Raw genomic sequence first — 14,281 nt, forward strand, 5'->3', positions numbered from 1 at the left:
TCACCTCCCCACAGTCTGCCCCCTTCCCAAGGGCCTAGCCCAAGGAATGCTCCTCCCCACCACATCTCTGAAGCTTTCCCTCCAGGAGTCACTCAACTACTCCCTCTCTCGTGGCCCCCTCAATCAGCCCCAAATCTAATCTCCAAGAGCCTCTCCACGGGTCTCCCGGTCTGCATCCCCCTTGAAGTAGGAGGCGGGACTTGACTCCAGAGGTGGGGCTTGGACACTGGACCAGATTGAGGACTAGCTAAAACAGGGCTGGAAGCAGCTTTCTAATCAGACATGCGCCCCAATGTGCCATGTTAATTTATCATTGCCATCTCAACACCTGGGAGTTATCACCCCTTTCCATGGCAATGACCCAATGGCCCAAAAGTTACCACCCCTTCCCTAGGAATTTCTGCATAAATTGCCTCTTAATCTGCATACAATTAAAAGTGGGTATAAATATAACTGCAAAACTGCCCTGGGCTGCTGCTCTCCGCCTCTGTATAGCCCTGCTGTGCAGGGGCAGTCATGGAGCTGTAACACTGCCGCTTCAATAAAGCTGTTTTCTTCTACTTCTCTCTGCATTGCCCTTGAGAGGCAAAGCCGAGAACCCTCGCAGGCCAAGCCCCACTTTGGGGCTCACCTCTCCTGCATCACCCTCACTCATTCTCCATTTTACAGCCATTTTTTTCCCCTTTTTGAGACGGAGTCTCGCTCTGTTGCCCAGGCTGGAGTGCAATGGAGCGATCTCAGCTCACTGCATCCTCCACCTCCCAGGTTCAAGAGATTCTTGTGCCTCAGCCTCCCAAGTAGCTGGAATTACAGGCACCCACCACCAGGCCCGGCTAATTTTTGTATTTTTAGTAGAGATGGGGTTTCACCATGTTGGCCAGGCTGGTCTCAAACTGCCTATTTTATTTTATTTTTATTTTTCTGAAATATGTTAAATTCCAGCTACTCTGTCATTTCATTCCTACATTCTTCAGTGTTCCCTCTAAAATATAGGAACATTTTCTTAAATAATCAGTGCCATACCTGACAAAATATACAATTCCATAGAATGATCAAATACTTGGAATTGTTTCAAAGTGTCTTTTTGCATTGATTTGTTGGATTGTTTGCATCAGGATCCAAACAAGGTCACACATTACGTTGGGTTAAATGTTCTCTTAAACAAGAGGAATTCCCCTTTCTCCATCATTATTTTTTCATGTCATTGACTTGCTGAATAAATGTAGTCCTGTAAGAGTCCCACATTCTAGATTTGTCTGTGTTTTTTCTTTGTAGTGTCATTCAGCTTTTCCGTCATCCCCTGTATTTCTTTGAGTAAGTGGCTGGGCACAGTGGCCCACACCCCTAATTCCAGCACTGTGGGAGGCCAAGGCAAGTGGATCATTAGAGCCCAGGAGTTCAATGCCAGCCTGGGCAACATGGAGAATTCCAATCTCTACAGAAAACACGAAAATTGCCAGGCGCAGTGGCTCACACCTGTAATCCCAGCACTTTGGGAGGCCGGGGCAGGCGGATCATGAGGTCAGGAGATCGAGACCATCCTGGCTAACATGGTGAAACCCCATCTCCACTAAAAATACAAAAAATTAGCTGGGCGTGGTGGTGGGCGCCTGTAGTCCCAGCTACTCAGGAGGCTGAGGCAGGAGAATGGCGTGAACCCGGGAGGCGGAGCTTGCAGTGAGCCAAGATCACACCACTGCACTCCAGCCTGGGCGACAGAGCGAGACTCCATCTCAAAGGAAAAAAATTAGCCAGGCATGGTGGCATGCACCTGTAGTCCCAGCTACTCAGGAGCCTGAGGCAGCAGGATCACTTGAACCTGGGAAGTCAAGGCTGCAGTGAGCCATGTCTGTGCCATTGAGCAAGTCCCTGTCTCAAAAAAAAAAGAAAAAAAAAAAGAGAAAGAAATAAAAAAAAAATATGAGAAGTCAGCTCTGGGCTGGGCGCAGTGGCTCACACCTGTAATCCCAGCACTTTAGGAAACCAAGGCAGGAGGATCGTCTGAGGTCAGGAGTTTGAGACCAGCCTGGCTAACATGATGAAACTCCGTCTCTATTAAAAATACAAAAATTAACTGGGCGTGGTGGTGCACGCCTGTAGTCCTAGCCACTGGGGAAGCTGAGGCAGGAGAATCACTTGAACCCAGGTGGCAGAGATTGCAGTGAGCGAAGATTGCACCACTGCACTCCAGCCTGGGCAACAGAACAAGACTCTGCCTCAAAAACAAAAAAAAGTGGCCAGGTGTGGTGGCTCACTCCTGTAATCCCAGCACTTTGGGAAGCTGAGGCGAGAGGATCACCTGAGGTCAGGAGTTCGAGACCAACCTGGCCAACACGGTGAAACCCCGTCTCTACTAAAAATACAAAAAAATTAGCCAGGTGGGGTGGTGGGTGCCTGAGTAGTCCCAGCTACTCAGGAGGCTGAGTCACAAGAATTGCTTGAACCTGGGAGGCAGAAGTTGCAGTGAGCCAAGATTGTGCCACTGCACTCCAGCCTGGGTGGCAGATCAAGACTCTGTCTCAAAAAAAAAAAAAAAAAAAAAAAAGAGCTCTAATGGTGTATGGTTTATTTATTTTTTATTAATTTTATTTATTTATTTATTTTGAGACAGCGTCTCACTCTGTCACCCAGGCTGGAGTGCAGTGGTGTGATCTCAGCTCACTGCAAGCTCTGCCTCCCGGGTTCACGCCACTCTCCTGCCTCAGCCTCCTGAGTAGCTGGGACTACAGGCACCCACCGCCATGCCTGGCTAATTTTTTTGTATTTTTAGTAGAGACAGGGTTTCACCGTGTTAGCCAGGATGGTCTCGATCTCCTGACCTCATGATCCGCCCGTCTTGGCCTCCCAAAGTGCTGGGATTACAGGCGTGAGCCAACACACCCTGCCTGGCTTTGTTTATTTTTTTGAGACAGTCTCGCTCTGTTGCCCAGGCTGCAATGCAGTGGCGTGAATGTTGCTCACTGCAGCCTTGACTTCCCGGGTTCAAGTGATTCTCTCAGCTGGGACGACAGGCGCATGCCACCATGCCACGCTAATTTTTGTATTTTTTGTAGAGATGGGGTCTCGCCATGTACCCAGGCTGGTCTCGAACTCCTGGGCTCAAGCAACCCACCCACCTCGGCCATCCAAAGTGCTGGGACTACAGGCACGAGCCACCGCGCCCGGTCTGGTGTGATTTTATTTAGGTTCAGTCTTGCATGTGGGCTGGAGCAGCGGGTCCTCTGTGGAGGTGCTGCATGCTTCCTATTTCATCCCATCAGGAGACACGTCATGTCTAGCTGCCCATGCTCAGTGATGCCAACTGCTCAGTGGCTTCAGGGAGTGACAGCCTGACCCCTCCATTGTCACATTCCCCCCGTCCCCCGCATCAGTACTTCGCCTTCTGCTTTTATTCTTTGATTTCTGCCTAAACCCATTTCATAATCTTTCCACAGTAAAGCATTTTAAAGGAAAAGCTCCAAGCAGCAATTTCCTAACCCACAGGAAAGAAAGAGTCTAAAAATGGTAGAGACTCAGGTACCAGGTTAATCGGAGCAGGGAGGAGGCTCAGGATAAGGGACGCATCATGAGAAGGAGGAAGGAGAGACTGAAGTGGTGGCCGGAAGGAGCAGTGGAAAAACCCAGAGACCTCCTGGCCAGGAGCCTGAGTTTGAGGCTGGTTTGAAGTTTCCCTACTCAGGGCCCCACCTGGGTGTGAGTTGTTTATAGCTCAGGCTTTTTAGACAGACAGACCTGAACTTGAATCCAGCTCAGCTTCTTAATCAGCATTGGGTGACTTAAAGCAAGAAATTTAACTGGGCTTCTTCATCTGTAAAATGAAGATATGAATCCTTATCTTGCAGGGTTGTTGGGAGAATGGACTGAGTGGGCAGGGGGCATGGCAAGGGCCTGGTAGAGTAAACTCTCTGGGTGGTGGGTAGGAAGCCCATCTGAGGGAGGGAAACTCTGTACTCCACACCTCCTGTCCTTCTCCTGCCCTAACAGATTCTTGCCTGATGCCAGGGCCAAACTAGAAGTGCTGGGAGTAGAGTATAATATGCTCATTCTGCAGACAGCAAGAGCAATGCTCAGGGACATCCACCTTCCTCTTCAGCCGCTCCAATGGTGTGTCTGGTCTCCCAGCCCTTGCCATTGCAGCCTAGTGGCTTAGCTTTCTGGACTTGAACCCTTGGTCACCCCCTCAGTCTAGGGGCCAGGCTGCCCCAGGCACCCTGCAATTGCCAGCCCAGTTAACAGGCAGCCGACTCACTGAGCGGGTGGGGGTTCCAGGCATGACAGGGCCTTGGGCAGGCTGCCTCCTGGGGACAACTGGCTTGCTGAGCCCGTGACGGGTGGGGCCATTTGATTCCCAGACGATTTCTCCTACACTGGGAACATAGCAGATGCACAATAAATGTTGAGAGAATGGAGCTTTCCCCCACTGAGTGGGAGAGAAACAGTTTGTCAGGTGACTCTGCCTGTGGGGGCGTCCTGGGCATCCCCAGGAATTCACGGCTCCAAGCCCTTGAGCCCTGGGCGAGGGGGTGCGGGGGAAGCACCTGGGGTGGGGCAGTGAGCCGGGAGCTCCTCCTTTCTCCTGTTCCAGCCTGTCTACTCCCGCCCTGCACGCCCCTACCCACAACCCTGGCCCCTAGTTGAGCCTCTCACTCCTTTCACAGCAGCTGAGGCAACCCAGCCAAGAGCCTCAGTGAGATGGGTTTGGGTAAGGTGGAACCTTAACCCCCAGACTCCCAACCTCATCCTGTTTTCAGCACCCATGAGACTGGCTCTAGCACCCCCTGCTGGCAGCCGAAGCTGACTCCTTTAGCCTGAGTCCACTGGAGGTGTCACCCGTGCGTCCCCAACTCCAGTCCCCTCAAGGGCTCCACCCGGCCCAGCCCACATGCCTTTGTTGTGGCTTCCAAGTTTTCTTTTCCACGTCACCTGCGCTGCTTGCTCTCTGGTTTTGTTGACTTTAGTGCTGTCTCTGTTTGCTCTGGCTGAGCCAACAGCCTCAGGATGAAACTCTGAGCCCAGGAAGTGTGAACCTGAGAGGCAGCAGGCTGGGGGTGGGGACGGAGGCAAATGAGAGACAGGGTAAGATCTGAGCTGGTTCCCGGGCTCAGGCTGGAGTTCATGGCAGCTCACTCCAGCAGCAGGGTCGGGGCCCATGGGCAGGGATGGGTGGAAGGATTTTTCCAGCCTCACTGAGAGCAGGTCTTGGCCTGTCACATCACTGTTTTGAAGTTTATTTGGAAGCTCAGCCCCAGAACTCTAATGCCTCACATCTCCAGGAGGTCTGAACCCCTCTGTGGGGCAGTGCAAGTTCCCTGGAGGCTGCGATCTGATTTCAGCCCCTAGTCCTTCAACCGAGCAACACAGGGGACACCACCATCCCCCATAGGAAGCCTCCAGGACCGAGCTTTCCTGACTTTCCGTGCGCCTCCATGAGAATCTGTTACCCAGCAGCCTGGCAAGGTGACCCCACAGGGATTATTGCCCCTCTACAAATTGAGCCCCAGACATGGTAAAGGGACATCTCCAAAGTCACCAAGTGAGAGCTTCCTGGCTCCTAGTCCAGACTCTTTGGCCCTCTTCAAGCATCTCTCAGATCATGGAGTGTGATGGGAAGGCAGCACCAGGCCCCAGGTGCCGGGGCAGGGGCCAACACACCAAGTTGTGGAGTGTGCATACAGTGCCACACAAACCAGGGGCATGCGCAACCTGGGGCTGACGTGCTCACCCCACAGCCCCTCAGACCAGACGCAGCCAGGACCCTCACGTCCCTCCTGCCTGCAGAGGGGGTAAGAGAAAGCAATGACTGAGTGCCCACCTGCCACTCACTGCTCCCAGCCTGCCTGTGTGGCCTGTGGGGTGTAAATGCCGTCTCAGGGTTAGGACAGTGGAACCACCCTGGCCTGCAGCCGGGAGCTTAGGGATAAGGTTAGGGAAGCTGCTGCCGTCACCACAGGCTTAGGGTGCCCAGCTCTGCCAGCTGATCCAGCCAAGTCCTTCTTGGGGAAGATGAGCTGTCATTAGAGAGCCCTTCCCACCTCTCAGACCTCCGCTTCTTATGGCTCGACAGGCTCTGAAGCTGCAATCCTTCTTTTCAGGAAGACACCTGTCACATGTGCGTGTGCTCTGGGAAGTGCTGTGTGTTCATCCACACTACCTCCGCCCATGCCACATGCCCCCTTCGCACCTGTGGCACACAGTCTAGGGGGCTGTGTGCCTGGGGACTCCCTATGTATGCTCAGTCAGACACGGGTACACATCTTGGACCCAGGTGTGTAACACAGCATTGCGCCCATATAGGTGAACACACAGGTGCTATATTCTGCATCCCTCCTACCCCTTTCAGAGCAAGGACCATTTGAGGGTGAGGGGTGAGTCACCTGCCAACCTGTGGGACCTGCTGAGCTAGCAGGATGGGAAGCCACAAGCTGACAGCTGTGGCTTCAAGGGACCAACACCCTGCGTGGGGCCCGCCCAACCACCAGCCTCCAGCGCCCCCAAACCCCTTACCTCCACCCTTATTAAATCCTACCCACACCCTCAGCCAAGACTCATGCCAGAAAGGCACCTCTATTCCTTTACAATATATATCTGCAGCTGAGCTGTCGCTGCACCTCATGGGCTACTACCAGACCTCTGCTTCTGTACAGATGCCTCAGGGAAAAACCAGGGTGGCAGCAGGACCCATCCCTCTCCTCTCCTCTGTCCAAACCCTGAGACTCCTAACTATGCCCCCCATGGAACCCCTTCTTGTTGATAATTCATACCTTTTGCGCCTCTTATTGAGCACAGAGCCCCATTCTAGGCCCAGACGGGCTCTGTCCCCTCCTGCCCTCTCTCACCTCTGTATTCCTGCTCAGAAGTCTGTCCCCAAGTCTGGGAACTCCCTGAGGACAGAGGGGCAGTCTGCAAACATAGACAGAAAACCAGGAAACCCGAGTAGCCCAGGTGAGTTGATCGTCCCCCAGATGAAGGAAGCTGGTTAAAAGCCCTCCTGGCTCCTCCTGTGCTTTGCCAGCACACCCAATTAGTTACCAAGACAAGTCTTGCTGGGTCTAAAGAATGTCCTCAACTCCTACTCTGTGCCAGACGTATCTGTAAATACATGGTCAACTTTGTACATGCGTCACTCGGCTGGGCATGGTGGCTCACACCTGTAATCCCAGCAATTTGGGAGGCTGAGGCAGGCAGATCACTTGAGGTCAGGAATTTGAGACCAGCCTGGCCAACCTGGTAAAACCCCATCTCTACCTGGGGTCCCACCATACAAGTGACCTCACCAAGGGACTGTTCTCCACCCTCTAGCCACTCCCCATCCCTACCGCAGAGCCAGGACCTAGCCTAGCCCAGTATCTGTCTCTGCAATTCCTGGAGACAGTCGCCAGGTAAGGGCAGCTGGCCTGCTGGAGCCACCTCACCCACCTCTGATCTTTGCCTAGGATCTGCTCCTGCCTGTCTCCTGGTTCTCCAGGGCACACACCCCACCCTGGGGCCGAGGCTCCACTATCCACCTGTCCAGACTTGCCTTCCATCCTGCGGGCCGACACGCCCAACCCAGCCAGTGCCCTGTGGTAGAATGTCTCACTCAGGTCAGAGAGTACAGCAGGAAGAGGGGGCTTGAGGGGGCACCTTCCACCCATCCCCATGGCTGACACCCCTTCCGCAACTCGGGAAGGTCCCTGAAGGACCTCAGGACCCAGTTCACCAAACTCCTCAAGCTTTATAGGTAGGTGGAGTAAAGCCCTGAGGGCCAGACCAAGGCTTCAGGGTGGATTAGTGGCTGGGACAAGACTAGATCCTAGGCTAGATCCTACGCAAGGGAAGGCCTCCCATCCCTACACAGGGAGACTTCTTCCCACAGACAGCCTCCAGGGAGGAGACTCAGAGGGCTCCCCTGAGAGAGTAGGGGTTGCTAGAGGAGTTACAGGGAGTGGGTCCCAGTCCAGGAGGGACAATCTTGCCCTGCAGGGTTTTGGGAGGTTGGATACTTCCCAGCTCAGTGCTGAGGGAAGGAAAACAGACCAGCTCACCCAGTAATCAGTGTTCCTTACAGGTGGCATACTTAAATGGGGGCGTGGGGGTGGGTGCTGTCCTCCCCAGGGGCCGGCAATAGGGGGCGCATCATTGGCAATGAACTTAAAAACACTTGATCTTAGCCAAAAGGCTAAGAAGCGATGCAATGAACTTAAAAACAATAAAACTGACTAAAAGTCAGTCTGCAGCCGGGCGCAGTGGCTCACGCCTGTAATCCCAGCACTTCGGGAGGCTGAGACGGGAGGACCACCAGACGGTGAAACCCCGTCTCTACTAAAAATACAAAAAAAATTAGCCGGGCATGGTGGCGGGCGCCTGTAGTCCCAGCTACTCAGGAGGCTGAGGCAGGAGAATGGCGTGAACCCGGGAGGCGGAGCTTGCAGTGAGCCGAGATCGCACCACTGCACTCCAGCCTGTGCGACAGAGCGAGACTCCGTCTCAAAAAAAAAAAAAAAAAGTCAGTCTGCTTCTTGTTGTCCCTATCAGCAGCAATGTTAAACAATGTCCGTGGTAAAATACACAGATGGGGTGAACCAACTGCCCCCTCCCCTTAGTACACCACAGTTCCTATCTATATATTCACCCCCAAATTCCTGCCAATCAAATCTACATGATTTCTTAGATCCTAAGACAATTAAGCCTTCTTTGGAGAATGTATGCGTCCTTTTAGGACATTTTTTTCTGAATGTCTACCGAGCATCTTAAGAAGTGTGAATGTGCCAGGCGCAGTGGCTCAGGACTTTGGAAGGCTGAGGTGCATGGATCACCTGAGGTCTGGCCAACATGGTGAAACCTCATCTGTACTAAAAATAGAAAAATTAGCCGGGCGTGGTGGCGGGCACCTGTAATCCCAGCTACTTGGGAGGCTGAGGCGAGACAATCGCCTGAACTCAGGAGGCAGAGGTTGCAGTGAGCCGAGATTGGACCATTGCACTCCAGCTTGGGCGACAAGAGCAAAACTCTGCCTCAAAAAAAAAAAAAAGAAGAAGAAGAAAAAATGTTAATCAGTTCCTACAAGAGTACTTCATTTATTCATTATTCATGTATTCAGCCGTGGGAGCTCTCCCAAGTGCTAGGTGGTAGATGCGCACTGGAGAACAAGTCCCAGTCCCAGACCTGGAGGACTTACAAGGCATGTAGAGAAGCTGGTGAGTAAACAAGAAGCTACAATGCAAGTATAGAGGTGATAAGCACACGGGTCTGTGGGAGTTGAGAGGACAGCGCTGAACCAAGCTTGGAGCTTGGGAATATCAGGGAAGCCTTCCTGGAGGAAGGGACATCCTCTTTAACAGCAGAAATGAGAAAGAGTTAGCCAGGCAAAAGGGTGAGGGACAGAAAGAATAAGTCAACTCATGCAAAGGCCCCGAGGGAGCCTGGGAAATGTGTGGCTGGAGCAGGATGGGAGCCCCTGACACTAGAGAGCTAAGCCCGGGCTGGACCATGAATGGTCTTGTCCTTGCTCGAGGGACTGATGGGGGTCACTGAAAGTCTGTAAACGGGAGTGGCAGGGAAAGATTAGTATGTTAGAAAGCTCTAAAGCATTGCTGGAGCTCAGAAGGCACGAATTTGGTGGGAAGAGTAGGAGTGGAGCAGAGAAACTGGTTAGGAAGCAGTTGCAGTAATAACGGCAGGAGTTGGTGGTAACTGGAACAAAGGGAGTCGCATCAGGATTGGAAAAAGGGGCTGGACTGGAGGATGGTGCCAGTGAATGATCGAGTTGGGGTGCAGGTGTGTGGGGTAGCCCCAGGGTTTCTGGTGGGGTGGTGCCCCTCTCTGATGGAAACAAAGGAGGAGGAGCAGGCTTAGTGCATAATCGGGTCTTATTTTCATATTTCTGATAAGATTTTCTCAAGTCTACAGCACTTCCTAAATATGTCATCACATGTGTGAGGTTTTTTGTTTTGTTTTGTTTTTTGTTTTTTGTTTTTGGTTTTTGGTTTTGTAGATCAAGGCGGCCCCCAAAACATTCTTTCTGTGTAAGGAGAGGTTACTCTGGAGAATTAAAGTAAAAGAGATGAGAGGTGCAGCAAAAAAGTCTGCTTAATTACTCCGCTGCACTTTCCCTATCCCTCTTTCATTCAACATCTACAAAGTCTGGTGCTTGGAAATAGAAAAGAATCCTGAGCCAGGCACAGTGGCTCACACCTGTAATTCCAGCACTGTGGGAGGCCAAGGCAGATGGATTGCTTGAGGCCAGGAGTTCGAGACCAGGCTGGCCAACATGGTGAAACCCTGTCTCTACTGAAAAATACAAAAATTAACCAGGTGTGGTGGCGCACACCTGCAATCCCAGCTACTCAGGAGGTTGAGGCATGAGAATTGCATGAACCCGGGAGGCGGAGGTTGCAGCGAGCCAAGATTGGGCCACTGCACTCTCCAGCTTGGGCAATAGAGCGAGAGACTGTCTAAGAATCCTGGCCTCATAAAACTTTCAATCTAGGTGTTGGCTTATGCCTTTAATCCCAGCACTGTGGGAGACCAAGGTAGGGGGATCGCTTGAAGCCATGAGTTCAAGACCGGCCTGGGCAACACAGCACAACCCCTATGTACAAAAAAATAAAAAATTGTCTGGACATGGTAGCATGGGCATGTAATCCTACCTACTTTCAAGGCTGAGGCAGGAGGCTGCAATGAGCCATGATCCAGCCACTGCACTCCAGCCTGAGTGACAAAGCAAGACTCTGTATATAAAAAAAAGAAAAAAAAGAATTTACAATCTCATAAATCAAAAGTAATATAGGATTATAAAATACTGACATGGCCCGGTTAGGTGGCTCATGCCTGTCACCCCAGCACTTTGGGAGGCCAAGGCAGGCAGATCACTTGAGGTCAGGAGTTTGAGACCAGCCTGGTCAACATGGTGAAACCCTGTCTTTACTAAAAATACAAAAATTAGCCAGGTGTGGTGGCACACACCTGTGATCCCAGCGACTTGGGAGGCTGAGGCAGGAGAATTGCTTGAGCCCAGGAAGGAGAGGTTGCATTAGCCGAGATTGTGCCACTGCACTCCAGCCTGGGTGACAGAGCAAGATCTGTCTAAAATAATAATAATAATAATGGTACTTTCACATAAAACATTTTTTTTTGAGATGGAGTTTCCCTCTTGTTGCCCAGGCTGGAGTGCAATGGTGCAATCTCTGCTCACTGCAAACTCCACCTCCCAGATTCAAGCAATTCTGCCTCAGCCTCCCAAGTAACTGGGATCACAGCCGCGTGCCACCACTCCCGGCCAATTTTTTGTATTTAGTAGAGATGGGGTTTCACCATGTTGGTCAGGCTGGCCTCAAACTCCTGACCTCAGGTGATCCACCTGCCTCAACCTCTTAAAGTACTGGGATTACAGGCATGAGCTACCACGCCCAGCCCCTCGCTGTCGCCAAGGCTGGAGTGCAGTGGTGTGATCTCAGTTCACTTCAGCCTCCACCTCCTGGGTTCAAGCAATTTTTCTGCCTCAGCCCCCTGAGGAGCTGGGATTACAGTCACATGCCACCATGCCTGGCTAATTTTTGTAATTTTAGTAGAGACGAGGTTTCACCATGTTGGCCAGGCTGGTCTCGAACTTCCAACCTTAGGTGACCCACCCGCCTTGGCCTCCTAAAGTGCTGGGATTACAGGTGTGAGCCACCGCACCTGGCCATTTTTGCCTCTCTTTTTTTTATTATAAATGCATAGCTTTTATTCTAAATGTAATAATGCCTACCAAAGAAAATGCGAAAACTACAAGTAAAAACAAATTGCTCACAATTCAGAAATAACATAATGCCTATTAATGCTTTCACTTCTTTTCATCCATTAATCTTTCTAAGTGCTCTACTGACATAATTGAAAATAATTTCCCATAAGCCTGTTGGTATAATGCCCTTTTTAGCTAATGCCATGATGATAGATTATCAACTCCAGAAGTATTATTTTAATAACTAAGAGACAAACCATACTTTATTTAACTACCTTCTGTCACTGTCACTGAGTAGTTTGTTTCCAACTTTTAAATTTTTTATTTTTTTATTCATAAATATACATTTGTATTTCAGTGTTTCAATATTATAAATAACATTGGAATGATCTTTGGGCAAAGGCTTTGTCTGTCTCTGCAATTACTTTCCCAAGGATCATACTCAGAGATGAAATAGCTGAGGAAGGAATATGAGAAATATCCAGGTTTGTTTTAATTTTTAATCCTTTATATATTTACCTTTTTTTTTTTGAGACAGGGTCTTTGTTGCCTAGGCTGGAGTGCAGTGGCACGATCTTGGCTCACTGCAACCTCTGCCTCCCTGATTCAAGCAGTTCTCATACCTCAGCCTCCGGAGTAGCTGGGATTACAGGCATCCGCCACCACGCCTGGCTAATTTTCGTATTTTTTTGTAAAGACAGGGTTTTGTCTTGTTGGCCAGGCTGGTCTTGAATTCCTGACCTCAAGTGATCTGCCCGCCTCGGTCTCCCAAAGTGCTGGGATTACAGGTGTGAACTACCACCCTGCCTATATTTACCTCTTGAATCCATCGATTTTATGGCATGAGGTAAGAATCTAGTTTTTCGGCCGCCCCTACTGGGAGGTGAGGAGCCCCTCTGCCCAGCCAGCCGCCCCGTCCGGGAGGGAGGTGGGGGGGTCAGCCCCCCGCCCGGCCAGCCGCCCCGTCCGGGAGGGAGGTGGGGGGATCAGCCCCCCGCCTGGCCAGCCGCCCCGTCCGGGAGGTGAGGGGCGCCTCTGCCCGGCCGCCCCTACTGGGAAGTGAGGAGCCCCTCTGCCCGGCCAGCCGCCCCATCCGGGAGGGAGGCGGCGGGGGGGGTCGGCCAGCCGCCCCGTCCGGGAGGGGGGTGGAGGGGTCAGCCCCCCGCCCGGCCAGCCGCCCTATCCGGGAGGTGAGGGGCGCCTCTGCCCGGCCGCCCCTACTGGGAAGTGAGGAGCCCCTCTGCCTGGCCAGCCGCCCCGTCCGGGAGGGTGGTGGGGGGTCAGCCCCCCGCCCGGCCAGCCGCCCCATCCGGGAGGTGAGGGGCGCTTCTGCCCGGCCGCCCCTACTGGGAAGTGAGGAGCCCCTCTGCCCGGCCACGACCCCGTCTGGGAGGTGTGCCCAGCGGCTCATTGGGGATGGGCCATGATGACAATGGCGGTTTTGTGGAATAGAAAGGCGGGAAGGGTGGGGAAAAAATTGAGAAATCGGATGGTTGCCGGGTCTGTGTGGATAGAAGTAGACATGGGAGACTTTTCATTTTGTTCTGTACTAAGAAAAATTCTTCTGCCTTGGGATCCTGTTGATCTGTGACCTTATCCCCAACCCTGTGCTCTCTGAAACATGTGCTGTGTCCACTCAGGGTTGAATGGATTAAGGGCGGTGCAAGATGTGCTTTGTTGAACAGATGCTTGAAGGCAGCATGCTCGTTGAGAGTCATCACCACTCCCTAATCTTAAGTACCCAGGGACACAAACACTGCGGAAGGCAGCGGGGTCCTCTGCCTAGGAGAACCAGAGACCTTTGTTCGCTTGTTTGTCTGCTGACCTTCCCTCCACTATTGTCCTATGACCCTGCCAAATCCCCTTCTGCGAGAAACACCCAAGAATGATCAATTAAAAAAAAAAAAACAAAAAAACAAATATTTACGTATGATAATGAGAAGAACACTGTCCTAGATGGCTGAAATGCTAATAGTCTTTAATTCACTATTTTCTTATTCTGACTGTTGCAAAGATTTGTAGTTTTATTGATGATTCTCACTCATGTTCTAAAATAGGAGTTGGCAAACTATTGGCTGCCTGTGTTTATGAATAAAGTTTTCCTAGAACACAACAACAAAAAAAAAACAAACAAAAAAAAAAAAGAATCTAGTTTTTGCTTTCCAGAGGTGAGAAGAAGGGGTCTTCTTCAGGAACCCCGAGCCCCATCCTCTTAGCCCTCAGTTTATGTTTTTTTTTTATTCTTTATTTTTTTGATTCTTTTTTTTTTTTTTTTGAGACGGAGTATCGCTGTGTCGCCCAGGCTGGAGTGCAGTGGCCCGATCTTGGCTCACTGCAACCTCCACCTCCTGGGTTCACGCCATTCTCCTGCCTCAGCCTCCTGAGTAGCTGGGACTACAGGCGTCCACCACCACGCCCGGCTAATTTTTTGTATTTTTAGTAGAGACAGGGTTTCACTGTGTTAGCCAGGATGGTCTCTATCTCCTGACCTCATGATCCGCCCGCCTCGGCCTCCTGAAGTGCTGGGATTACAGGTGTGAGCCACGGCGCCCGGCCTTCCCTCAGTTTCTTGAAACTCCC

The 14,281-nt window shown here is 51.5% G+C and overlaps 2 annotated features.

Annotated features, from left to right (window-relative positions):
* Positions 3,761-4,292: an enhancer, noted in NCBI's record as "H3K4me1 hESC enhancer chr9:33414572-33415103 (GRCh37/hg19 assembly coordinates)". NCBI's record gives its function as "activates a minimal SCP1, AML or CMV promoter by ChIP-STARR-seq in naive H9 embryonic stem cells {active_cell/tissue: H9 hESC(naive)}" and the evidence as "EXISTENCE:reporter gene assay evidence [ECO:0000049][PMID:30033119]".
* Positions 4,293-4,823: an enhancer, noted in NCBI's record as "H3K4me1 hESC enhancer chr9:33415104-33415634 (GRCh37/hg19 assembly coordinates)". NCBI's record gives its function as "activates a minimal SCP1, AML or CMV promoter by ChIP-STARR-seq in naive H9 embryonic stem cells {active_cell/tissue: H9 hESC(naive)}" and the evidence as "EXISTENCE:reporter gene assay evidence [ECO:0000049][PMID:30033119]".

The sequence above is a fragment of the Homo sapiens genome, chromosome 9 (genome assembly GCF_000001405.40).
Source record: "Homo sapiens chromosome 9, GRCh38.p14 Primary Assembly".
NCBI lineage: Eukaryota > Metazoa > Chordata > Mammalia > Primates > Hominidae > Homo > Homo sapiens.